This window comes from Homo sapiens, chromosome 1 (assembly GCF_000001405.40).
Source record: "Homo sapiens chromosome 1, GRCh38.p14 Primary Assembly".
Lineage (NCBI taxonomy): Eukaryota > Metazoa > Chordata > Mammalia > Primates > Hominidae > Homo > Homo sapiens.
In genome coordinates this window covers 164,239,814-164,266,060 of record NC_000001.11, presented here as the reverse complement: position 1 = coordinate 164,266,060, position 26,247 = coordinate 164,239,814, and positions in this window count along the sequence as shown.

Sequence of the window (26,247 nt, the reverse complement as noted above, 5' to 3'; positions counted from 1 at the left end):
AGCCTTTTACCTCTGTGCGTGTGTGTATAATTTTTTTCTTCTCACTAGAAAAAGAGGAAAACTGGGTTGAAAAGTTGACTAATTTATCTATCGAATAAGTAGCCTGTGTAATGAGCAACACTGGGTGTTCAGAACCAGACTTGAAGCCTCTTGAGAGCTCATAAAACTCAAACTAATAACATGGTAATAAAAGGTGCCCTTGCTTTAATTTGAAGTGTATAGCAAGTCCAATTACATCTTTCTTGAATTTCTGAGGACATGCAAATTTCTCAGTGAGATAATTCTGAGCATCAATTAGTTATGAAATAATTGTAAGCAGCTAATTTTCAGAGGATGGAGTAGATTGCGTAGAGTTTTCAAAAATGGCTTGGGAGTTTTGGCATCTTTAACAGACACAATAGCTGATACTATCATGATAATTTTTTTCTTAAAAGCAGTAATAAAATATTTTATTTTAATTTATCAGGATTTTTAAAATAAATGCTTCAAACGAAAACAAGACAAAATAAAACAAAGAAAAAAATCAGAAATGCTGGGGCAAACTTTGACATGACTCTAATGTTTAACCCAGGATTCCTTAAAACAGTCTCATGATGGCCTGGCCAATCCTGAGCTGTCCCTCCATGACGAAACCCTCAACAGCTCCTGCCAGACAAACTTCCAGGAATTGGGAGAGCTAGAGAAGACTGTTTTACTGAAACATCTCCTTCAATGCAAGTGAGTCTGAAGGGTTTTACTATTTCAGAGTATTTTGGCAAAAGATATCTTTAGATTTTTGTGAGTCTGAGAAATTTTAAACTTTTCTAACAACATCTTATAAAACTATATGGACTTTAAATTTTGATATTTAGGATAAGATTTAACTAATAAATATTTGGGAGGATTTGCAGAATTAAATCACAAATATCCCCTCTGTCTTTATTTGTCTGTCATCCTCATGCAGTCTTTCTGGAAATAATGTCTTTTTCCTTTTCTCTCTCTCTATGTATAAACACCCAAATTCTCTTTTACTTTCCTTTTGCTTTCCTCCAAGCTCTGATTGTTTTCTTAAAGTACATAAAGCCCTGATGACTAGAAAGTTGAGGGCTTCAAAGTCCATGTCTTAAAATTTATAATGTAGCTGCTTGAATTTTGTAATAATATAGGAATGATGTGGGAGTTGATGGTGTAAAACAAATTATAAAGTTGTAGCAGAGGATTTATGAAAACCCTACTGTGGTGTAAAAAGATCACATTTCTCAGAAATTAGGTGTCAATTTCTCAACTAAGACTCCTTGGACATGAAAAAAAGAAGTGTAAGGAGTTTCAAAGAATTATTATTTGTAGCATTAATAAGAAAATGCTACTCTGTTAATACATGGCAGCATTTATTAGATAGCTTTACAATACTGTGGTAAGTGTCCTTCAAAATAGTCTTCAGAGGTAGATTATTAGGACACATTTTCAAATAATAAAAGAAGAATAGTAAACTAAATGATTTTAGAGGCAAACAGTAACCAGGTGTTGTATTAATATATGTATTGGCTGGACCACACACATAGGGTACCCAAGAAATGACTGTTAGATTGTATGTCAGTGCAGCGTTGTTGTCCTTTTTTTAAATAAGAAAAGATATGAAATTAAAAGTAAGGAGAGTTGGCCTTTGAATTACATGGGTTTGGGCTGTGCGGGCTCACTTATAGATGGATTTTCTTCCACCTCTGCTACCCCTAAGACGGCAAGACCAGATTCTCCTCTTCTTCTTCATCATCTCACTCAACTTAAAAACAACGAGGATGAAGCCCTTTATGATGATTCAGTTTCACTTAATGAATAGTAAATATATTTTCCCTTCCTTATGATTTTAATAACATTTTTCTCTAGCTTATTTTATGGTAAAATATAGTCTATAATACATATGCAAAATATGTATTAATCGACGGTTTATGTTAGCAGTAAAGCTTCTGGTCAACAATAGGCTATTAAATAGTCAAGTTTTTGGAGAATCAAAAGTTATATGTAGATTTTTGACTGTGCCAAATGTTATCACCCCAACCCCTACGTTGTTTAAGGGTCAACTGTATACAAATCCTTGGTTCTGGACTCACAGAACTATCTTTCAGAAAAGTATATTCCGCAAAAATTCTGGGGAATACAGATGCAAAATAGAGACTAACTGGGCAACTTCGCTTGCATGCCTGCCTATACCCCAATTTGAGGAAGACTACCTCATGCACAGTCATTCTGATGGGCAGTAGGTATTTTTAAAATTTGGCCCAATTAAATTGGCCCAAGAGAGGGCACTAGGTACTGGGTTGTCTGGTCATGATTTGGTGAGTCATATATTTCCTGTTTGACCTAGCTTTACGAAAGATTTGGCAGCCCAATAACCTTTCTCTCTCAAGCATTTTCAATTAGAAAACTGAAAGGAAAAAGTAGTTAGTGGTGGGACCAGAGGATGAATAGAAGCATTAAGAGAAGACATGAAATAGAATTGCGACTAAACAAACTGAGAACATGTTTAAAGCAAACTTGGAAGACAGCATACACTAAGAGTAAGCATAACAAAACCAGTCAGTAGAGACATGGGAAGAGAAGAACAAGGTAGATGGGCAAGGAAAGACACCATGAGCTGGAGAGACTCTGCGGTGCCAGAGAATGCACCTCCTTGCCTCAGAAGGCTTCCCAGCTTCCCGTTGTGGTTTCTTCCCATGAGGCTGTATGGCAAAATCCTGGATTTCTGTGAGGTTCCTGTACCTTTGCATTAAAAAAAAGCCCAAACCAATAATTTCTGGAGGCAGCTTGAATGGGTCTCTCTTTCTTAAATCTCAAAACCCATTATCAATAAACCCCAAATAAGCCTCACAATCCCCAGAAAATACTATTTTAAGCACAAGAGCCCTATCCATATTTGTAGTTTTATCAAGAGCTGTAACAATGTTGAAACATACATACAATTTTTGGTTATAGGTACTGCTAAACACAGCTGTGCAACTTGGAGTGCTTCTTGCTGTCAGGTTGTAGAAAAGAGTCCTGGTAAAGATCATAAAGAGGAATGTCTTTTGTCCATGACACAGTTACCTACTTCCCACTGCAGTGTCAAGGAAGCTGGTAGGAGTGGCTGTGGGTGAAATGAAGAAGAAGGCTGTGAATGAAGTACACAGAATTATTTCCAATATTGGAATATAGCATGAAGACTGTTGTCGGGGCATAGAATTTTGGAGCTCATAGGACTTCAGGGAGCATTTTATCCAATCTTCTCATTTTGTAGAAGAAGCTGAGGCCTGAATGCCTGATGATATTCCAAAGACAACTAATTATTATGCACAGACCAGGGAGCTGATACCAAGTTCCCTGCCTCCTAGTCCACCATTCTTTCCTCCTTATCTAGTAGCCACTTTCTTTCCTTGTGGATCTTTTTAGGGCAGTTAGCTCAGTGGCTTACCCACAGGCTGGGGGATGGACTGCAAGATCTTGGGTTTCATTAGATAATTAAGTGTGTGCTGCTTTGATTCTCAGTAATATGAGAATACTACAGAAGTGGGAAATAAAAACACAATCTGCCCAGATTTAAGCTTTTAAAGCTTTTATATCTTAGAAATTGATGCACATCAACCTTCAGGGCCTAGATATCAGTCTAGCCTTTCACGAAATAGAAATATGTTGAGCTTGAAGTCATGAATGTCTCCTAATTAAGAAGTTGATGAAGAGTCAGAAATCATAGCCCATGAACCGAGGCTGTAAGAGTAAATTCCGAGATTGTAAGCACATTGAACAAGGTCAAAATTAAGCTTTATGGTTCAAATTTTTATTTCTGTGCGTTGCATATGCCATGAGGTTATTTTCTCAGAGATGGCTGAGTTTTAATTGAGTTGTCACCTGTAGTATATTTTTCCCATTGAGCAAAAAGCCTGCAAATTCAGCTTGGAGGATTTGCCTGAGGCAAGGTGTCATAACCATTCGCAAATCACCACTTGTATCCTGTTTACATCACCTTTGCCCCCACACAAGTCTATGTAACTGATCTCATTTGCCTTTTGCACAAAGGAAGAATTAGGCCCTATAAAATCACTGTTGCATAACTGTAGATATCATAATACCGTGCTAAAGTAAATGACCAAAACAATGAGTCTACTAACTTGAATAATATCTGAACAAAGAGTATAAGAGTAAAAGTGAGTAATGCAAAGCCACATAATCCTAACTGCCATTTACTAGGTGTCTACTATGTGCCAAACATAGTTCATAGTTATTTAATTTCCTTATGATTATCCTTTGGCTATATACATGTCATAAGTGAGTAGATTAAGGTTCAGAGAAACTCAGATCACACATCTAGGAAGTGGCAGAGCTGAAATTTAAATTCAAGTGCCTTTTTATCTAAAGCCCATGAATTCTCTTAACTAGTACATCATCCTGCATCTTGTATGACTGAGAGGTTCTGGCAGTCACAGCTACTTGTAATACTACTTGACCCACTAAGATAGAATATATAGAAAGACAAATGCTTAACAGAAGAACTGAATACAGCTGTCCATGGTGCAATAAATGAACAAACCCTTATTGATATGTATGCTGTGCATGACACAAAGCTCTATGCTATAGCAGGTTCCAAGAAGCAGGAGAATCAGGCTTTGCCCTCAAGGACTGTATAATGCAGTTGGGGCAATAAGATGTGCACATCAAGGGTAACTAACAGCACAGGGCTTATATGATAATAGATGACAAGAAATACCTTCAGGGTAGGAAAGAATAATGAGAAGATGTGAGGTCATCCTTTCCCCCTAGGAGAACAGAGACTTGCAGTACACACTATGCCAGAAAAATCTTCATGGAACTGGCTAATTTTATTTGAACTGGAGATGATTTCTGGGCTGCTGGGTTGCTGACCCCATTCTGGCTCTAAAGTTAGACTTTTTATGAAAAACAGCCTATTAGTAAGACAGTAGAAAGTATATCTGCTCTGTTATTCACTACAGGGTTCTGTTGATCAAATAGCGTACTTGTTTTGACTATATCCTCATCCTCCTGAATCTTTGTTGGAAACTTAAACATGCATAGCAGGTAATCTTGGAAGCAGGATAATATAATTGTGAAGTACTTGTCAATCCCCTAACTCCAGAAAAAATATATTTTGAGATTAAGAAAAATCAACTTAAATTTTTCTGTCCTGTCACCTTCTTGGGTGGTCTTCATGAGTCAGTAAAATGGCATTTAAATTAAGTAATTGTACACCCCTAGCAATCAGTCTGTAATGTCCAGTAATCTTTGCCTAACATCTCCTCATGAAATGGCCCGTTGAGAAACAGAGCAGGCCACCATCACAGAGTGGTGGCTGTCTGCTTCCCCTCTTTGTGTCCTAAATGTGTCACCTCAGCATGCCAGGCTGACATGCCTTGGCCCCACTGTCAGGTTTGTTTGTAAAAGCTACCCAAATCCTTGTTTTACATGCTCCACGTAGTCTTCCCATGTTTGAGTGTATACTGAGATGTCATCAATCAATGCCACACTGTGTTCACCAACTTCATCAGCACCGTGTTTACCTTCTTCTTAAATGTAACTAGTGTGTTTCTTTTGCTGAAAGGGAGACTCTAGAACATATATAAAACCTGAGTGTGGCCAGGGCTCTGCGCGCAGTGACATGCGCATAATTTCAAGAGCCTCTTCATTGCCAAGATCTGATTGTGCAATGACATGCCTATCTCTGTGACCATATGCTTTTGGTGTCCTTGAGAGAGTTCAGGTGAGCAACACTCAAACTCCCATGGAGCATGAGAATCCTCATTTGTTACTTTTGGTTAATCACATCAGTCATTAGAAAGACTTAGAGTATCTGTAGTTATTTTGTCATTGATGTTACAATAGAATCCAGCACAAAGGAAAATAGTGTAACAGTAAAACTGTGGTATCTTTTTCAGAGGGAAGAAAAGTAGTATAATGATAACTAGGAGAAGAAAATTCATATTTGGATGTGGATCATGCCTTTGTCCAAATGTGGAAACCCTGAGCTTATTCCTAGTGTCTGTGTCTAAAAGACGTATTTTATTTTGCATATCTGCCAAAATCTAACCCCAGTCTTCTGCCTGCCAGGTGACCAGTAGATTAATTATTTAGAGTAAATGTTTGTGAGAATGCCCTAGATGCCAATTCACTTCACATTGTTACCTCTATGGGAAATTTTGATAGATAAAGAAAGCTTTGGATATACATGTGGGAGGCTTCTGATCCACCATCTTTTTTTTTTCATTTTTAATGTCTTTGTGTAGAGAAGATCTTTTCTTTCTTTCTTTTCCATCATCTGCAAAGCAAGTTGATCTGAGGTACAGTGTAGAATCTTTAAGTCTACCAAAGTATCAAATGTGAACACCCTTCTTTCTTTCATAGACATATTATTTTACAGAACTACCCTCTCCTTCTTTGTACTCTACTTCCTTTAAGCAGTCCTTTACACTAAAATCAGAAGTTACGTTTTCAGTTTTCTCTTTGGCACCTCTATTTAATCCTGTTAGCCTTCTGAATTTGTATTTGTCTGATGTCCAGGTTGGCCATTTCTAAATTAAAAAAATTAACAACTTAGATTCTGGAGACGGGTTCCTTTTCACAGTAGCCAGCTCTCTTTTGGTTGACCATTTGACTATCTGGGAGTCCTCTTGCTAGAGCAACAGGAAACCACGTGATGACTTCTCTCCTTATTCATTTATTCTTGGGCTTTCATATGGCCTAGTTTTCTGTGCCCTCCACTTTTTGACCTTGGATGTGAAGCATCTTAGTCTTTGATCTCAGATCTGATCTGAATATAACCAGTAGTACCAGAAGGATATCATTTGGGTAAAACTTGCTAGCTGCTGCTAAGAGCATGCAGAGACAGCCCTTGTAAGTATCCAGTTGTTTTAATTTTTTTCTTTCCTCCAGTGTATATTACAAAGTTAAGGATGGGAGGACTGGGAGGTCTGAAGGATAATGTCATTGTAAAGGGCCACTGACACAGAACACACTGAGCAACCTTCTTTTCTCAGTTTGGGCAGATGCTCTGGTTAATTCGGATTCAAAGCAGAGATATGAATCTCTGCTCTGAGTAAGGAAGCTGGAGTTGAGTTAATAAGTGAAGGAACCACTGAGTCTTGATGATAATTCTATAAGATTACCTGCATGCCTAATAATTAAGAAAAATTTCTCTGGAGAAAGAAATTGGCATTCTTGAATGTTGCCCCCTTATCAGAGCCGCACTTCTCTGCAAGATATTCTTTCACAGATTTAAGAACGTATAAACAGATAAAGGTAAAGAGAGTTAGAGGACCTTAGCATGTTTCCCTGAGGCAGAAAATCTGTCCTCACCCTAAGGTGAAACAAAGTGGAAATGGTGCCTTAAAGGCAAATTGAAAAGTATTCATTAATCAACAAGTATTTATTTAGCACTATTTTCAGAATTGTGCTTGGGGCTGTGGTAGGATAATGAAAGAAGTGTAAAATAGAACCTATGCCTGCAGAGAAGTCATGCTCTAATTAGGGAGAGAAGAAATAATAAGAGGAAGTTTAGAATAAATGCTAAATTTTGTGTTTCAGAGCCTAAGAACTGTAAGAAAGAAGCAGGTTATCCATAAGAGCTGGAATAGTCAGAAAAGCCTTTGCTGAAATGATAGAGCTTGGAATGAGTCTTTAAAGATGAGTGAGATATAGGTAAAATGACCCCCACATTAATTAATTCACAGAATTAATTAATTCTGATGCTGGGGAATGTGACCTAGGATACAGCACTATTGTCACGATTCTCTTTAATTACAAAGAGGAAGAATTAACCTATACTATAAAGGCATTTCGAATGCATGGCCACCTTTCAGACAATTTATAGGCATGCCACTTAAGTAGTGGGATTTCTGCTAAGTGACCTCATTTATCCTTTCCACTTTTTTTTTCCTTAGGCATCATAACCTTTAAAGTTTTTGAACTATAACTTTGTATTAATCTTCTTTTCACCATTTGAAAATTTTCATAGCCTGAGAATGAAGATGAGCCTAAGGACTCAGACTAGGAACCTCTCCCATATGTTGTGATCCAGAAATGAACTACCCAACCCACAGAACCTTTTTATAAGTCAACAGAGCAGCCGCCTCTTGTTTCCTAGGTGACAGCCAAATGGCATTGCCCGTTGTGCAGTGTACCTTGCAGGGGGATCCAAGCTGCCACTTCCTTTACATGTCTTCATATGCCCTGGGAAAACTTCTTCGCCATTACTCCATGTCATCGTGAATTAGTCTACAGAAAGTAAAAGAGAGCAGTTCTACCCCTCCATGTTACCTCTCATTTTGCCCTATAATATCCATACACAATGACTTGAAGAGTTCAAGGAACAGCCCTTCAGTTCTTGTGTGTAGAGTGATAATAATACTAACTCACATTTGTGAAACTTTTTGATGTTCTTTTTCTCATTCAATTCATTTACCAGTTTATGAAGCAAGTAAGAAAATAGAGGATTATTAGAACCGATTTACTCAAATAGAAATGCCTTTTCTTCTTTATATAAAATATAAATAGGTGCTTTTTTTAAAAAACAATGTCTTTAAAGCATTTTTAAATGCTGTAAGAAGTGCTTTTTTTCTTTAAATAAAAGTCATAATAAATAACTGTAAAAAATGTGTAAAACACACAGAAACCCTCATACACTGCATTTAGAAAGAAGGAAAATATAGTTGAAAAATCTGAGCCTTTAAGAGGTTAAGACTTGCCCAAGGTCATATTCCTAGATAAAGGACAAGATTGGGCACAACCCTAAATGGCTTGAGGCCAAATCCTATGTCAATGTGCCAGTCAGGATTACTGGAGAACTGCAGTAGCATTGCCACCCTTGATATTCAGGAGGGTATATAATTTTATCAATACAATACAAAGGTTAATGGGATTGCCTCCTTCCAACTCTATCATAGTAAACGCAGGCTTTATGGCAACGTTAAAAAAAATGACCTCTCTCTGCTTTATGCTGATCATTAAGTAAGATTATCTTACACTAGAGATTTACTATACCAAAGAGCACTGACATCACTAACTTCTATTAAGTGTATGATACTTATACTCCATAAAGTGGAGCAAAATACCTTTGTCAGCAATGAAGGGAAAATAGACATGGCCAGAGGCATTCATCCCACACAAAACAGAACCATTGTCTGCAGGAATCTCTCTACCAGCTTCTAATGCTCTCTGGCCAAATCCACCTGATGAAAATCTCAATATGGAACAGAAAGTCTGCTCTGTGATGTCTTTAAATAAATGAGATCAACTCTCTATTAATTTCAATAGGTTATGTAGATTAATCAAAACCTTCCAGTTTCAAGAAAAAAATCGAAGCATGTATTAGTCTGTTCTCACACTGCTATAAAGAATACCTGACTGTGAAATTTATGAAGAAGTTTAGTTGACCAACAGGTTCTGCAGGCTGTACAAGAAACATGGCTGGGAGGCCATAGAAAGCTTACCATCATGACACAAGGTAAAGGAGAAGTAAGCAAGTCTTACGTGGATGGAGCAGGAGAGAGGGCAAAGGGGGAAGTGCTACACACTTTGAAACAACCAGACCTCAAGGGAACTCACTCACTATCACAAGAACAGCAAGGGGGATATCTGCCCTATGATCGAATCAACTCTCACCAGGTCCCTCCCTCAATGTTGGAGATTACAATTCACCATGAGATTTGGGGAGGGACACAGAGTCAAACCATTTCATTCTGCCCTTGGCCCCTTCCAAATCTCATGTCCTTCTTATATTTCAAAACCAATCATGCCTTCTCAATAGTCCTCTAAAGTCTAAACTCATTCCAGCATTAACTCAAAAGTCCAAGTTCAAAGTCTCATCTGAGACAAGTCACCTATGAACCTGTAAAATCAAAAATACGTTAGTTACTTCCAAGATACAGTAGGGATATAGGCATTGGGTAAATGCCCCCATTCCAAAAGGGGGAAATTTTCCAAAACAAAGGAGCTATAGGCACCATCCAAGTCCAAAACCTAGCAGGGCAGTCATTAAATTTTAAAGCACCAAAATAATCTCCTTTGACTTCATGTCTCATATCCAGGCCACACTGATGCAAGGGGTGGGCTCCCAAGGCCTTGGGCAGCTCTGCCCCTGTGACTCTGCAGGGCTCAGTTCCGTTGGCTGCTCTCAAGGCCTGGCATTGAGTGCCTCTGGCTTTTCCAGGTGCATGGTGCAAGCTGTTAGTGGATCTGCTGTTCTGGGGCCCCACCCCACATTTTCTCTTTGCCCTGTCCTAGTAGAGGTTCTCCATGAGGGCTCTGCCCCTGCAACAGCCTTCTGCTTGAACATCCAGATATTTCCGTACATCCCAAGCAATCTAGATAAAGGCTCCCAAGCTTCAATTCTTGTCTTCTGTGCACCTGCAGGCCCACACCACATGGAAGCCACCAAAGCTTGGCACTTGCACCCTCTGAAGCAATGGTCCAAGCTATACCTTGGCTCCTTTTAGCCATGACTGGAGCTGGAGTGGCTGGGACACATGGTGCTGTGTCCTGAAGATGCACAGAGCAGCAGGGCCCTGGACCTGGCTCATGAAACCGTTTTTTCTTCTTAGGCCTCCAGGCTTGTGATGGGAGGGGCTGCCTCAAAGGTCTCTGAAATGCCCTGGAGGCATTTTCCTCATTGTCTTGGCCATTAATGTTCAGCTCCCCTTTACTTATGCAAATTTCTGCAGCTGGCTTGAATTCCTCCCCAGAAAATGGGTTTTTCTTTTCTACCACATGGTCAGGCTGCAAATTTTCCAAAACTTTATGCTTTGCTTTCTCTTTAAATATAAGTTCCAATTTCAGACTATCTCTTTGCATATGGAAATGAGGACAAACAATTAGAAGCAGCCAGGCCACATCTTGAACACTTTGCTACTTAGAAATTTCTTCTGCCAGATACCCTAAATCATCTCTCTCAAGTTTAAAGTTCCACAGGTCTCTAGAGCAGAAGCACAGTGCCACCCCTCTTTGCTAAAGCATTAGCAAGAGTGACCTTTAATCCGGTTCCCAGTATGTACCTAATCGCCATCTGAGACCACCTCAGCCTGGACTTCACTGTCCGTATCACTATCAGCATTTTGGTCACAATGATTCAACAAGTCTCTAGGAAGTTCTAAACTTTCCCTCATCTTCCTTTCTTCTTCTGAGCCCCTCAAACTGTTCCAACCTCTGCCTGTTAGCCAGTTCCAAAGTCACTTTCACACTTTCAGGTATCTTTATAGCAATGCCCCACTTCTCTGGTACCAATTTCCTGTAGTAGTCCATTCTCACATTGCTGTAAAAAACTACCTGAGACTGGGTATTTTATGAAGAAAAGATGTTTAATTGACTCGCAATTCTACAGGCTGTAAAGGAAGTATAATTGGGGAGTCCTCAGGAAACTTACAATCATAGTGGAAGGGCAAAGGGGTAGCAAGCACCTTCTTTACATGGTGGAGCAGGAGAGAGAGTTGGGGGTTAAAGTGCCACACACTTTTAAACCATCAGATCTTGTGAGCACTCACTCACTATCAAAGAACAGCAAGGGGGAAATCTTCCCTCATGATCCTGTCACCTCCCACCAGTTCTCTCCACCAATGTTGGGAATTATAGTTCAGCATGAAGTTTGGGTGGAGACACAGAGCCAAACCATATCAAAGCAGAAACAGTTGAATCAGTATATCTGTATATTACTTTAATTTTTAAATTCTCAAGTGATTAATATTATGATGTCACTCAGGAGTCATGTTTCGTTTCTAGCAAGGAAGTAATACAAGAGAAAGATAGGTATATTTTCTCAGTAAGAATTCTTATAGGAGTTATTTACCCAACAGTATGCACTACTGCTGCAAATAAATGTTAATTTAATAAACATTTATTTAGTATCTATTATTTCTGAGACATCAGAGTAGGGTCTGGTGACACTGAGATGAAAGACACAGCTGCTTTCAAGTAGTTCCCACTCTAGTAGCAAAGACAGAAAAACACACAAGCAGTTGGAAGGGAGAGCACTTAGTGTTCTGAGGAAGGGTGTCTTGGAGACCTGGTCCTGAGTGGTTCATAACAAACCCACTGTGGGATGGTGTGGAGGTATCATCAAAGTGGATTTTCTAGGAGAGGCTTTTTGAAGCCCACATTTGGATTTAGAGCCAAATGTCATGGATATAGGCTTTTGCCCTCACAAACCAGCCATCTGTAGTAAAATATCTACATTGCTTCTTAGAGCTTGGCCTCTAATTCTGTGAAAGATGCTGGAGGCTGACATAGCATAGGGTGGATTCTGGACATTTATAAAAAAATACACTTTCTTTTAAATCAGTATAGAAGCAGGTGATACTAAAATATGACACTAAGATTCTATTTTTATGTATCAAATTACTCATTTGATTAAAACACAGTCTTATGAAAAACATGAATTTTTGTAAATGATTTTCTGTTGAATAAACATAAAAGAAATTTTGTTTCATTTTATACCAAAAATCATTCAAACAGCATCAAGGGACAGTATCATGAAATTTCAGAACACCAAGGGTTAAATAAGAAAAATACTTATTTCTAAAAATTGTAAGGACTGTGCAAGGAATATTCATATTCTCTTTATACAGATTCCTCAATCAATGTTTTATCATATTTATCATATAATATCACATCCATTACAATCCCCATGTTCTCTATATCTATGTATACCTCTCTTTATATATCCAAATTTATTGCTATTAAAGATCTATTTATATAGCAATTTGAAGAGGAAAAGTTTAATGTAAAGAATCACTATAACAAGGGATTGTAGAAATGAGGAACTGGCTAGTAAAAAGTCAGGAGAATTTTAAATAATATAGGAATAATAGATATAAAAGGAGCTACTACTTAGGACTGAGCTAAAGTGCTCAAGGAAGAACCCCTCTAGGGCTGAGATCCAGAAGTTGTTGAAAAGGACATGGCCATGGCTCATTAACTTGCTGAAAATTTGCCCACTGCTGTGCCAGGGAAAATTGTTCACAGGGACCTGTATCCCTGGAGGCCCTCTACTATAAAACCACTGGAAGGGGTTGCAGGTGGAACCTGTTGGTTTCTGGTGCTTTTAGCCACCATGCACTGCATAAATCAGGTGCTGGAGAAGTTGTGCATGCTTTAAGAGCTGAGCCCTGGGGAAGCTGCTTGTGCTGTGAGAGCTGGGTGCTGGATGCTGGGAAAACTATGTGTGCTGCAGAAACCAGGCTTTGGAGAAGCCATCTGCTCTGCAGAGGCCTGCGAAGTGTGCACACTGGAATCAGGAAACAAAGCTCCTTTCTCCTGTAGCACCTCTCTATTTCCCTTTATTGATAAGTCTTTTCGCCAGCTGGCAAAGAAAAAATTAAAGGCCCAGATTCACTTTTGCAGAGCAGGCAATAAAAGTCAAATTTAGAGTTGAGAGATAATAAATTAATAACCTGATCCATTATTTTTATTCTTTTTCTTGGCCATTTGAAATCAAGTTATAGACATATTACCTCCATCATACCTAAGTAGTCCAATGTATTTTCCCCAAGCAAGGACCTTATCTTAATGGCAATACAACCTTCCAAATGAAGAAATAGACATGGATGCAAGACTGTGTCCATTGGGTTACAAGACCCAGTAAAGTCCCTTTTTCTCTTCTGGTCCAGGTTTTTTCCAAGACAACATTTTGCTTTCAGACATTGTGTTTGTCCTTCAATTTAAAATCATACCTCAGGGTGTTTTCTATATATTTTATGACCTTGAAAGTCTTTAAAAATTACAGGTGTTTGATCTTGGTGATGGTGCTATGTTTGTCCACCATAAATTCACCATTTTTACCTTTGTAATTTGGTATGTACATTGTAAAAAAAAAATACCCTGGCATTATGTGAATATCCTTTTTCTCACTCAACATCCATCCACCAATATGAGCAGCTGTGTGTATCTTCTTTCAGAGTCATTTCCCATTTCCATCATTTTAATTTTCATCATTCTTTCTTTATTAGTTAGTATTCTGCTGTAAATCATCTTATCAATTTTCTTTCTATTTCTTTCCTCCTTTCTTCCTTCTTGGTATATATTTGTATGAATCCTGATTCTTATTTTATTCAGTTTATTTAGTATATCTCTGTCATCATTTATTTGACACTCAAACTGTCCCAGAATTGCCAAGTTCCCATTCAAGATATTTCTATGTCCTTTTAATATGCCTACATCATTCTTTGAGCACTTCATTCATTTCTAGAACAAGGTACTTGAGGATCATTTTATGCTTTCCTTATCCCAGCCCTTGAATTAGCCATTTCCCCAGGAAACCCTGGTTCTGGTACTTGGAAACAAAGATCTTATGCTAAGTGTGTTCATTGCTACTCAGGTGTCATTGCTTATTTGCACTCACAGAAGATATCACTAGGAAAATATGTATTTATACACACATATATGCATATATACACACAGATATGTATCTATATTTCTAAATCTTTCTATACCTATGTATTTTTAAAATCACGAATTGACACCTTACCTCCATTGTCTATTTCAATATCTCAGAGGTATTTCTAGTTTTCCCCCTTTTCATATTTGTAAGGTTTTTTTGGGACAGTGAAACTTGACTCCCACTATGTGAAACGTTGATGTATTTGATCCATCTCCTGCAGATGACTGATATGGTTTGGCTGTGTCCCCACCCAAATCTCATCTTGAATTGTAGCTCCCATAATTCCCATGTGTTGTGGGAGGAACCTGGTGGGAGATAATTGAATCATGGGGGTGGTTCTTTCCCATGCTGTTCTCATGATAGTGAATAAGTCTCACAACATCTGATGGTTTTATAAAGAAGACTTCCCCTGCACACACTCTCTTGCCTGCTGCCATGTAAGATGTGACTTTGCTCCTCATTCTTTCCACAGTGACTGTGAGGCCTCCCCAGCCATACGGAATTTGTGAGTCAAACCTTTTTCCTTTGTAAATTATCCAGTCTCAGGTCTGTCTTTATTAGCAGCATGAGAACAGACTCCTCCAATGATTAATCTCTCAGTCATTTTGGCTATCTCTGTAACCCTTAGCTTCACCAACCCTTCCTTCATCTTCTTGCCCCTTCAGCACTGTCCTCTACTGTTGCCTTTTTGACCCACCGCAGTCTCAGTCCTCTGTCCTCCTTCTTCCTTTCGAAGAAAGGGCAGGGAATAGAAGAGAAAAGGAAAAATGAATATTTTGATGCAGTAAGAATTGAAGAGAGGATAGACAGTAGAGGGAGGTTTTCAGGAGTCTAAAACTCTCTATAATTTAGCACTTTAACATCTATAATTGTGACAATTGACAGAGGGTGAAATGAAAATTATTTCCAATATTTGTTTAAATTCCAAGTTTTATAAATATTGGTTTAAATTAAGTTTATAATAAGCAAATTTCCTATATTTTCTCATATAAATCTCACCCCCATAATTCAGATATTTTGAGGATTATTTTCCTTAAGCTACTTTTTCATTTTGAGTATATCAACATCAATTCATTGTAATGATTGAATCTTAAATATTGCTGACTTAACTATTCAATGTACAGTAATACAAGTACAATGGATCAGTAATAAAGAGAAATATTTTGTGAAACACCATCAGATTTAGATTAAATTCCTAATGAGCAGACCTTGTGAATGAAAACAAATCTTGCAGCTCCCTGGAAATGAAATGTTACCAGCAATAGTCAATAATCTGAAAAAAGGCAGATTAATATACAAAGGAAAGTTACTAATTTCAGATGCAATCATTGAAAATTCACTTCTGGAGAAGAAAGAACAAAAGTTATTTGGAATATCAATGCAATGAGTAAGCCATTTGTTTAGCATGGTACTACTCTGTAGGGACTTTGTATATTGTCACAGAAATGGATTTTTACTTCTCAGGGATATAGGATGGTATTCTCAGTTATTACTCCTATTTACCTAGAGAAGCAAAGTGAATCATAATAGCGAAATGGGAGAGTTCCCTGGCACTTCTTGCAGGATGTATGACAGGGGTGTGGCTCATCTGTTCGGGCCACCATGTGCTCAAACCCCTTACGGGAGGGAGAGCACACAGTTGGGCAGGTGCAGGAGCTGGGACGAGCACTTTTGGGCTCCGGCCCCACAGTGGCATCTAGGGATGGGTGCCTGTGACTCCCAAGGCCCCAGTGGGTGTGCTACAGTGCTCCTTTAGCGCTACCATTTGCAGATGGCTTAAGGGTTAACCAGCTCAGTGCCCTCTTAGTACTCGGTTTCTTGTCTGGCATCCAGGAAGAATCGGGTCATGCGTGGACTTGAAGGATGGTGAATGTAGGGGTTTTATCAAGTGGTGGAAATGACTCTCAGCAGGATGGATGGGGAGCTGGAAAGGGGCTGGAGTGGGAAGATGATCTTCCCCTGGGGTCTGGCTGTGCAGCGGCCAAACTCCTCTCCTACCGTCCCCAGCCGAACTCCTCTCGATGTTCAGACATTCCTTCTCTTCTCTCCTTCTCTGCCATGCCATTCTGCTGCTCTGTCACTCTTCTGTTCATCTGCTCTTGGAGCCTGGGGTTTGGAGTTTATATGGGTTCAGGATAAGGGGGCATGGCCGGCCAAAAGGCAACTTTTGGGCATGAAAACAAATGCCTGTTACCATTTAGGGTGTGGGTTTCCAGACTTGAGGGTGAGGCCTTTGCCAGGGAACTGCCCTCTTCTGCCCGGTATTTCCGTGTGTTCTGTCTGTATCAATATGATTTGCCATGATTGCCCAGAAAATTTAGGGAGGGGAACATTTTCCCCACGTCATTGTTTAGCATACTCTTGTTTCTCACTCTGTGATCCTCCTGCTGACTTTGTAAAGGAGGTTTGAGAAGCCACAGGATAAACATGGCACTTCTTATCTTTCTCTAACTTCCATTTTGCTTGAGAGAATAATTTAAAATATTACTTGTATTGCACATTGAATACTGTATATTCACATATTATATATAAAACAAGCTACATTAAGTATACCTGAATCTATTTTGTTATATACTCTATTACATTTCCAGCCTCCCTGCAGTGAGGTGGGACCATGTGACTGAGTCCTGGACAAGGGAATGTGGGTGGAAGTAATTCTACCACTTCTGTGCATGAATTGTAACTTCCACAAGTTCCTCAATGTTTTTTCTTTTTCCTCAGGCATAGGCAGACCATCCAGTGGAGGATTATAAGCCCCTCCCAGATGGTAGAACCACTGAGAAGACAACCTGCATTGTACTGTCATATGAGCAAGAAATAAACGAATACACTGAGATTTGAGAGTTGTTTGTTTAGTAGCTCATATCACTTGTTACTTACCTGACTAGTACATATAAAGACAAACACTGGTTTTAATTGATTTTAAAAGTAAAACAGTTAACCTCAACTTGTACCTCAGGTTTGCTGCTTTGGGCTCCGTCTTAAGAACTGGGTACATGTTTGTAATTTTCTGCCCCGGGAAATTCCAATAGAGGCATTTGAGAAGCTCTGGCCTAAAACCACTGACAGGTTCGGAGAACATCTAAAGAGAAGAAAAGGTCTTTTCTAATAATCTATTAGTCTATTAGAGACTATATATTTTGCATACAATATATATATTTGGTGTGGACAAAATGATAGTATCATGCATGAAAATGAATTTCCCCAAAGAGAGAACAATTAGATTTGAACTCTTGATGTCTGTATCCTGCATGAAAAAGGTCCTAGCCCCATTGTCAATATTTACTTTGTCTCATTTTTTAAAATAAATACTTACTCCTTGATGAGTTTTTGCTCCTGGTTTATTATCATTCACTAAAGCACTACTTTTTCATCCTTCTTGGTGATTTCAATGTCCATTTTGATGTCTTTTCAAATACCCTGTGGCATTTTAGTTCTATGTCCCTCTCTCTTTCAATGATCTTATCCTTTGTCTTAAATAAGTCATCTACTTCCATGTTCATGCCTTAGATCTTGGCATTATCAGTGATTATAACATCTCAGCATCTCAGTTTGATGTATTCTATTCTTTGACGATTACTCTCTACCTTCCTAGTGCTCACACTCTGACTCCCTATGTCTTTTAAGGATTAAGTATAATTGGTGTGTGTGTGTATGTGTATATATATATATAATTTATAGTATATGTATATGTATACACATATATATCAGTTGATGCTAATACATTTTCATATTCTGTCCTCACACTTGTAGTCTTACTTACCTTCTCACCTGGCTTAAATTCTCAGTTAAAAATTACAATTATTCCTTTGAAAATGCCTTCAGCTCCCTTGCACTTAGTATTCTTTATTGTACTTCTTTGGCTAAACCACAACTCTTGAGTATTTTAACTCTCAGTATATATTGCACCTGCTCACTTGCAACTGAAATGGCTTGAGGAGAACACACAACTGTGCTGATTGGTCCCATTTTAAAATCATTATTGCTAACCTCAAATGGGCTCCTAATGCTATCTGGCAATAGTACTATATTTTTTGTATCTGTTCACTTATAGATCTCTTAAAAAATTATTTATGCCTTCTCCTCTCTCCTGGAATGTCTAACGGCTTCTTACTCTCCTCACTCTTAGTTGATGACTTTGTTTTCTATTTCACTGCCAAAAAACTTCCTTGAGCAATTACTAACATACTTGCATCCTTATAAGCACTAGTACCTATGGACCCTCACTCCTCTGAACTGCATATATCTACATCTATATCTATATCTATCTATATATCTATAGATATAGCCTCAGACAAGATGGACAGAAAAGGGGATAGCCTTGAACATATATGCTATTGAGCAATCATTTGAGGTTAGCAATAACGATTTTTAAATGAGACCAATAAGCCTAATTGTGTGTTCTCCTCTAGCTGTTTAAATTGCAAAATATATATAAAAATATATAAAATTTATACATATATAATTTTTAAGTAGAACAAAGCAAAACAAAAGCAAACCATTACCCTTGTTACCCACCTTCCGTATACCACTCCAATCTTTTATCCTTCTTGTTGAGATATAACTATGAAGAGTTGTATAGCTCACTGTCTTCAATGTCACTTTTCTCATTTTCTCGTGAACCAGGAATCCACGCAGCTTGCTTGATATTTTCAGATCTTTTTACCATTACTCTCAACATTTTCTAGCCCCATGTCACTGTTTTGTTTATCTAAGTGTTAATCAATGTCTAATATTACATAATATATTTTACTTATTTATCTCATTGAATTTCTTTCTTCTCTGCAAGAGTTTAAGCTTAGTGGAGCAAAGAATTTTCTTGGTGTTTGTTGTTGTTGTTTTACTGCTTTATCTCCAGTCCTAAGAACAGTGCTAGCCATAGAGCAGATGCTCAATAAATATTAGATATATGAATAAATAAACCATAGTGGCAAAATTAGTGTAATTATACATCTCAGTTCATATATGACTGAGGTCTGGGGCCCTGATCTAATATTCCCTCTTCCCCTCGTCTGCATCATGGATTGTGACACTAATCTCTGAAGCCAGTCTCAATTTACTACAAAGAAATATCTCCTATATTTTCTTAGCCAGTGTAATTCTCAAACTGAAGTTCCAGCTGCTTCCAGGGCCAGCACAGTTGTTAATAAGTGGGCTGGATTTTTTTTTTTTACCCTTGATTTAGTTTTCTGCTGATCTTCAGAATGGTGGAGAGTGATGCAGTAAAAATTTAGGCCCTTGCACAAGATGAATGAAATGAAGAAGTTGCAAAATCTAGCTCATTTTAGTCTTTCTTTATAGCCTAATATCTAACGTGGCCACATGAGAAATTCCTTTCAGTGAAAGGATTAGCAGAGAAGATCAATGTGAATCATTCCTGTGGAGCCCTCACTCCCTCCCTTCTGACTCCTGCTTCTGAGACACCTGCATCAAATCTTCCAGCCATTCTACTTTAGTGTTGTAAATTGCTATCCATGCCGTGGACGTGAGCTTATGATGTGCCATTGTTTCTCTATTAACTTCCTCAAAATATCAAATAAAATATACACAATCTTTTCCTTTTAAATTAGCCATGACAGCCCAATTGAGGCCCACCAACACTCACCCATAAATGATACAGATATTGAGCCCTGTGTTCATACTTAACAGTGGCAAGAGATAATTGAGTATCCTGAACTGTGCCCTTCCCACTGAGAATAGCTTATCACTTCCCTCTATTCCTACTGTGCTGTGATACACAACCTCTTTTCTCTACTCTTCATCTTTCTTTCCTCCTCTTTTCTTTGTCCTCCCCTCCTCTCCCAAGTTACTCTGTTTCATTTTCTCCTTCTATTTAGTCTGTTGGTTGTTTCTTGGCAGTGGCATATTTGTTGACTTGCTCTTTTGGTGACATCTTTTAATAAGGAAATTCGTCTCTTGGTGTCTCCTCGCCTAAGGGTGTGCTTACTTAAAGTGTAAAATGTCAAACTCTACCAAGGATGACAATAACCCTCTGGGTAAAGAAGAATCAGCCACTGCATTATTAATCACTCAAGAGGCAGACAGGAAATATCAGCCATCTCAAAGAAAGAAAGACTAGAATTAGCTAGATTTTGCATCTTCTTCATTTCACTCATCTTGTGCAAGGGCTTAAATTGTTACCGCATCACTCTCCGCCATGCTGAAGATCAGCAGAAAACTAAATCAAGGGTAAAAAAAAAAAATCCAGCCCACTTATTAACAACTGTGCTAGCCCTGGAAGCAGTTGGAACTTCAGCCTGAGAATTACACTGGCTAAGAAAACATAGGAGACATTTCTTTATAGTAAATTGAGACTGGCTTCAGAGATTAGTGTCACAATCTGTGATGTGGATAAGGGGAAGAGGGAATAGGCAGGTGACTACACTCTGACCCTTCCTAATGCTTGACTGGCAGAGCTGGCATTCCCAACTGTCCTTACTTAATGTCCCTTAAACATTACAGCAGCCTGACCCTCCTGAAGCTACAGAGAACTGCGGCCTGCAATTTAACAGGGATGAAAACTGGGCCTAATGACATCCTACATGGTCACGCTCTTTCTGGACGGTTACACAAGCATGAAGAAGTGAGGAGAGAACTCTTATTTTGGTTTGTTCTGTAGCAGACCAAGAAGTGATCACAGAGTTATTCCACAGTAAAATAGTCTGGCTGCCAACACCTCTGTATCTGGTATACACACACCTGCATGCATCAGTATTCTTTCTGTAAACTATCAAAACAATTGACAACATCCCACAGAATGCTATAAAAGTTCTCCAAATTCCACAGTGATGGAACTAAAAGCAGAGTTATTTTGTATAGATCCCTTGTAGCTAATAATACTCTCCTGTTTGTTTCATCCAAATAATGGGTTTCTGATTATCTTGACATAGTTCCTAAAACATCAAAATAGCTTGAATTTTCCCAGTGAAGAATTACCTTAAAATTAAACTTTAAAACGATTTTATGTTATATTTGTCATGATTATTTTATGTTACATGTATAAAATTTTCGGTAGTATTTAGATTTATTCAAAAGAAGTGGTTAATATAAAGAATATACTTTAAGATCTAGACTTTTTACTTCCAATCTGAAATGTCATGGGTCAGTTCAAAGCTGACAGGATAAGCATGATTGGAAAGTTGATCAAGTCACCCTGTGGGAATTCAACTGGACAGTTCACAGTAGACAATCAAAAGTCTATGGCTTGGAGCAGACTTTAGAGTTTATTGAGTTACCTGCCTTCATGAAGAACTGCCCCTGAGCATTTAAAGAGTGTTGAATGGTAGGTGTCCTAGTCATCTTGGGCTACCACAGTAAAATGCCATAGACTGGGTGGCTGAAACAAGAGAAATTTATCTTCTCACAGTTCTGGAGGCTGGAAGTCCAAAGTCAAGGCACTGCCATTGTTGAGCTCTGATGAGGTCTCTCTTCCTGGCTTGAAGATGGCTGCCTTCTCTCTGGTCCTCACATGACTATTCCTTGGTGAAGATAGGGGGTAGGAGGGGGGGGGCGAGAGAGAGAGAGAGAGAACACTTTCTTCCTCTTCTTGAAAGACCACTAATTTCATCATGAGGGTCCCACCCTCATGGCCTAACCTAACCCTAATTACCTCCCAAAGCCCCGTCTCCAAATAGCATCACATTGGGGATTAAGATTTCAACATATGATTTTGGGGGAAACACAAAAATTCAGTTCATAACGGTAGAGGTTGTTCTACTTGCCAAACACTGTGCTAGTGTCTTACATGCATTATTTCATTTAATTATCACAACCATGTGAAGTAGGGATTAGTGTATCACTTTGTAGATGAAGAAAATGGGTTTTCAAAAGGGTAGAGAACTTGAAATAAGCAGAAGAGCTGGGTTTCAGCTTCAGTTCCACCTGAAAGTGTAATCTTATTTCTAAAGTCCACCACACAAAAAAATGTTATTATCTTTTACAATAGGTAAATATTTATTATATTTTAAAAATTTGAACAAATTTAGAGGTACGAGTGCAGATACATGGATATATTGTGTAGTGGTAAAGTCTGGGCTTTTAGTGTAACCATCACCCAAAAAGTATACACTGTTTACCTTAAGTAATTTCTCATCCCTCACCCTCCTCCCATTCTCCTACCCTTCAGAGTCTTCCGTGTCTATTATTCCTCACTTTATGTCTATGTGTACACGTTATGTAGCTCCCACCTATAAGTGAGAATATATGCTATTTGTATTTCTGAGTTATTTCATTTAAGACGATGGCCTCCAGTTCCATTTATTATGCTTCTGTGAAAAACATGATTTCATTCTTTTATTATGGCTGATTTGGATGCACAGATTTTTCTCTAGATCTTTGCATTGAAATAACATATATTCCTTTTTCTTTTAATTATAATAAGTCAAATCTTTAACTTGAGCTTGAATCTTTAAAAAACACAAAAGCATGCTCAGGAAATAAATTTATTACACAAAGTCCTTTGAAGCTTTGAGATGTGACATTTTCCTAATGACGTGCAAAGAAATAGGTTCATTGTATTGGAGTTGGTGAGGTGTTATGTAGTTTTGAAATGTGTTCTAAAATTTCGAGTATAAGATAAAATTCAGCCTTCTGAGCTCTGAAGTTTTGTGGTTCTACTTAGAACTAAAATGAGAGATCGAATATCAGCAATATTTAAAAATCCAGCAAATAATTACTACACACATGCCACAAGCCAAAGAACATGCAGGTCCCTATATTCCAGTAGACAGGAAGAATGATAGTATCCCTGCCTTAATGGATCTCCTGCATTTTGAAATTATGATAAATGCTTTTTAAAAATCTCTAAAATGAAATCCAGCAAAAATGATTTGGGAGTATTGTTTTTTTTTCCTGATAAATGACGTTCTAATGACATTTAATAAGTTAGAATTACTGTAGTACGGGTTCATCTGCTTTTATGTTAATTGTCTTGGGCAACATGAACAAGGGTGAAAAATCAATGATTTGTCAACTGGTCATTTATATTTATGTGAACAATCTCTAATAAGTACAAGTCATTCAGTTATTTTCTTCCTTTACTGTTTTGCAAATGATTCAAATGATACCTAGTAGAATTAGTATAAATATCGAGTTGTGAGTAATGTGATTTGGGTTAAAATTCTTGAATTATTTGTAATTAATTGACAGAATTTTAACCATAATTCTAATCATATTCAGTTTCAGCATGTAGAGACTTGCATTGTCTCCTTTACGTAATTCCGTTTAACAGAAAATAAACTATCAGAGCTTCTTTGCTTTAACAATTATGCTGGATAAATTAGTCTGTTCTCACACTGCTATAAATAAGTACCTGGGACTGGGTAATTTATAAAGAAAAGAGGTTTAATTGATATGCAGATCCACAGGTTGTACAAGAGGCATGACTGGGGAGGCCTCAGAAAACTTACAGTCATGGTGGAAGGTGAAGGGGAAGCAAGCATGTCTTCACATGGCTGGCAGGAGAGAGAGAGGGAGAAAGAGAGAGAGAGAGAGAGAAGGGGAAGGTTCCACACACCCTCAAACAACCAGATCTCTTGAGAACTCTATCACAAGAGCAGCAAGGGGGACATATGCCCACATTATTCAATCACTTCCCACCAGGTCCTTCCTCCAACACTAGGAATCACAATTCAACAAGAGATTTGTGTAGGGACACAGAGCCAAACCATATCACTGGGCTGAATAAAGAAATTTGGATTTTCTAGAATATTTAGCTTTAATATTTGAGAAAGAATAAATGCAGTTGATAACATAAAGAACAATTTCTGTATGCCTTATTGAAAGGAATGCCAAAGCCACTAAACACCCCTGAAATAAACTAACAAACCTTTGAAATAAATACCAACTAAGATTTATATTTAGATGGATATGAGGTTAGTTCTTACTACTAGGCAACCAGTTGACCTAAGTTTAATTTAAATCAGCATTGTAGTGTCTTCTAATGGACAGTAAGGATAAGTTCTTTTATACATGGAATACAGTGGTGTTTCCCTCCTCCCACCCCCACTTTAAAAATGCATCTTTATATCTATGATTATGTCTATAGAGCCAAATGAAGTGGGAAAATATGACAGTTATTGGAATAAATGTGGCCAAAATGGAACTGTCATTAAAATTATCTAGGTAATGGGAGATACATTTGGTATTTCTAATGTCTTCATTTCTTTGCTTTCTGCTTTCTGTTCTAGTCCCTTAAAAGATAGTGGGCTCATTGAATGTAACAGCTGGCATTCTAGATAGTGGCAATGTGAAATGGCCAATATATTGAGTATTGGTTATCCTCTTGTGTAAATCCTGAAAGATAACTTCAGTTCCTACAATGGGGGATCTAGCTCCACAGAGATGGACTCTTCCATATTTATATAGGCTATTTCCACTTACATCTCTCTTTCTCCTTCAGTAATGCCAAACTGAGACTTTTAATTTTCTGCTTATACATTGTGTGATATCCTCCAAACACACGGCTATAGGGTTAATTTTTTGTTGTTGTTTGAGTCCTCTACATTTAATCAAGTTTATCAACATATACATATCTGTCTAGCTAAGGATCAAAGGAAATGACAGATACTAAATATATTCACCCTGTCACTAGTAGGACATATGAGGAGTAAGAAAATAAACCCACTAGTAAGCATATTAAGTCAAATCAAAACATCAATTTGTCATTTTTCTTTATTAAGCTTGAAAATAGTTTTTTAAAATATTATTCAGTCCTGGTAAGTTATAAGACACACAATCTAGTGCATTGTTATTTGCAAAAAAAAATTGGTAAAAAATATTTTGAAATAAATTTGTATACACTAATGTTCACAAACTTTGGGACAGTAATCTCACTTGTAGGAATATTTGTAATTACTTAATTCTTACATAGAAAACAATATATAAAAGAGGATGTCAAACAGACCATGGTTTCATAGTTATTGACAAAAACTAAATAACACAGAAGTCTACCAATAAGAAATTACAATACAACTGTGTGGCATGCTTTGCTATTTTTCAAATATTTAAATTAATAGAAATAGAAATCATACAATATTATGGGTCTAATGCTCATAAATGATGTAAAATTTAGAAAGTAATTTGAAAGCTTGGATATCAGTATGTTTACAAATGTACCTTCTTGGAAGTGTATGTCAGTATATAGTATTAGTGTATTATTTAAGGTATTAATGAAAATAATAGACAAACTCTGACATTTCAGTGGTTTTATAATAAAAGGTCATTTCTCACTCATACAAGTTCACAGTAGTTCAATGCTGGTGCTTGGAGGAGAACCTTCTAGGTGATTCAGGGATTCAAGCTCCTTCTATTCCATAACTCCACCATCTCCTCCAGGACCATGGGGTTCATTAGTTTCACCTCAATGAAATGAAAGGCAAGACCGAAAGCGACACCTACTGCTCACCTCAGGCCTGAAGTGACACAACCCCCTCCTAATCAAATTCTATGGGCAAGAACTAGCTACACGATCCCACCTGGACAAGTGCATTGGAGAATGTGGCTTTGCTCGCTGGAAGGCTGCTTTGCAACAATAATGCTACATTAAGGAAGGCAAACACAGATTTTTATGGGGGAAAATACTTTGTCTCTGCCACAATTATTACAGTGGTCAAATACCCAGGCTCTGAAATCAGACTAAGGATGAAATGGGAAATTTAATAGTATCTACTTCATAAGTAGATTGTGAGAATTATATGAAATAATCACAGTGAAGCACTTACATTGTGCTCTACATGGTGGCAGTGAAGATCATGATAATCTTGTTTTCTCTGTCTATAATATTTCAGAAAAATATTAAGGAATAATATAAAATATTAATAGTGATGAAATTCAATGATTTTCCTTCTTTTTCTGGTTTCCAAATT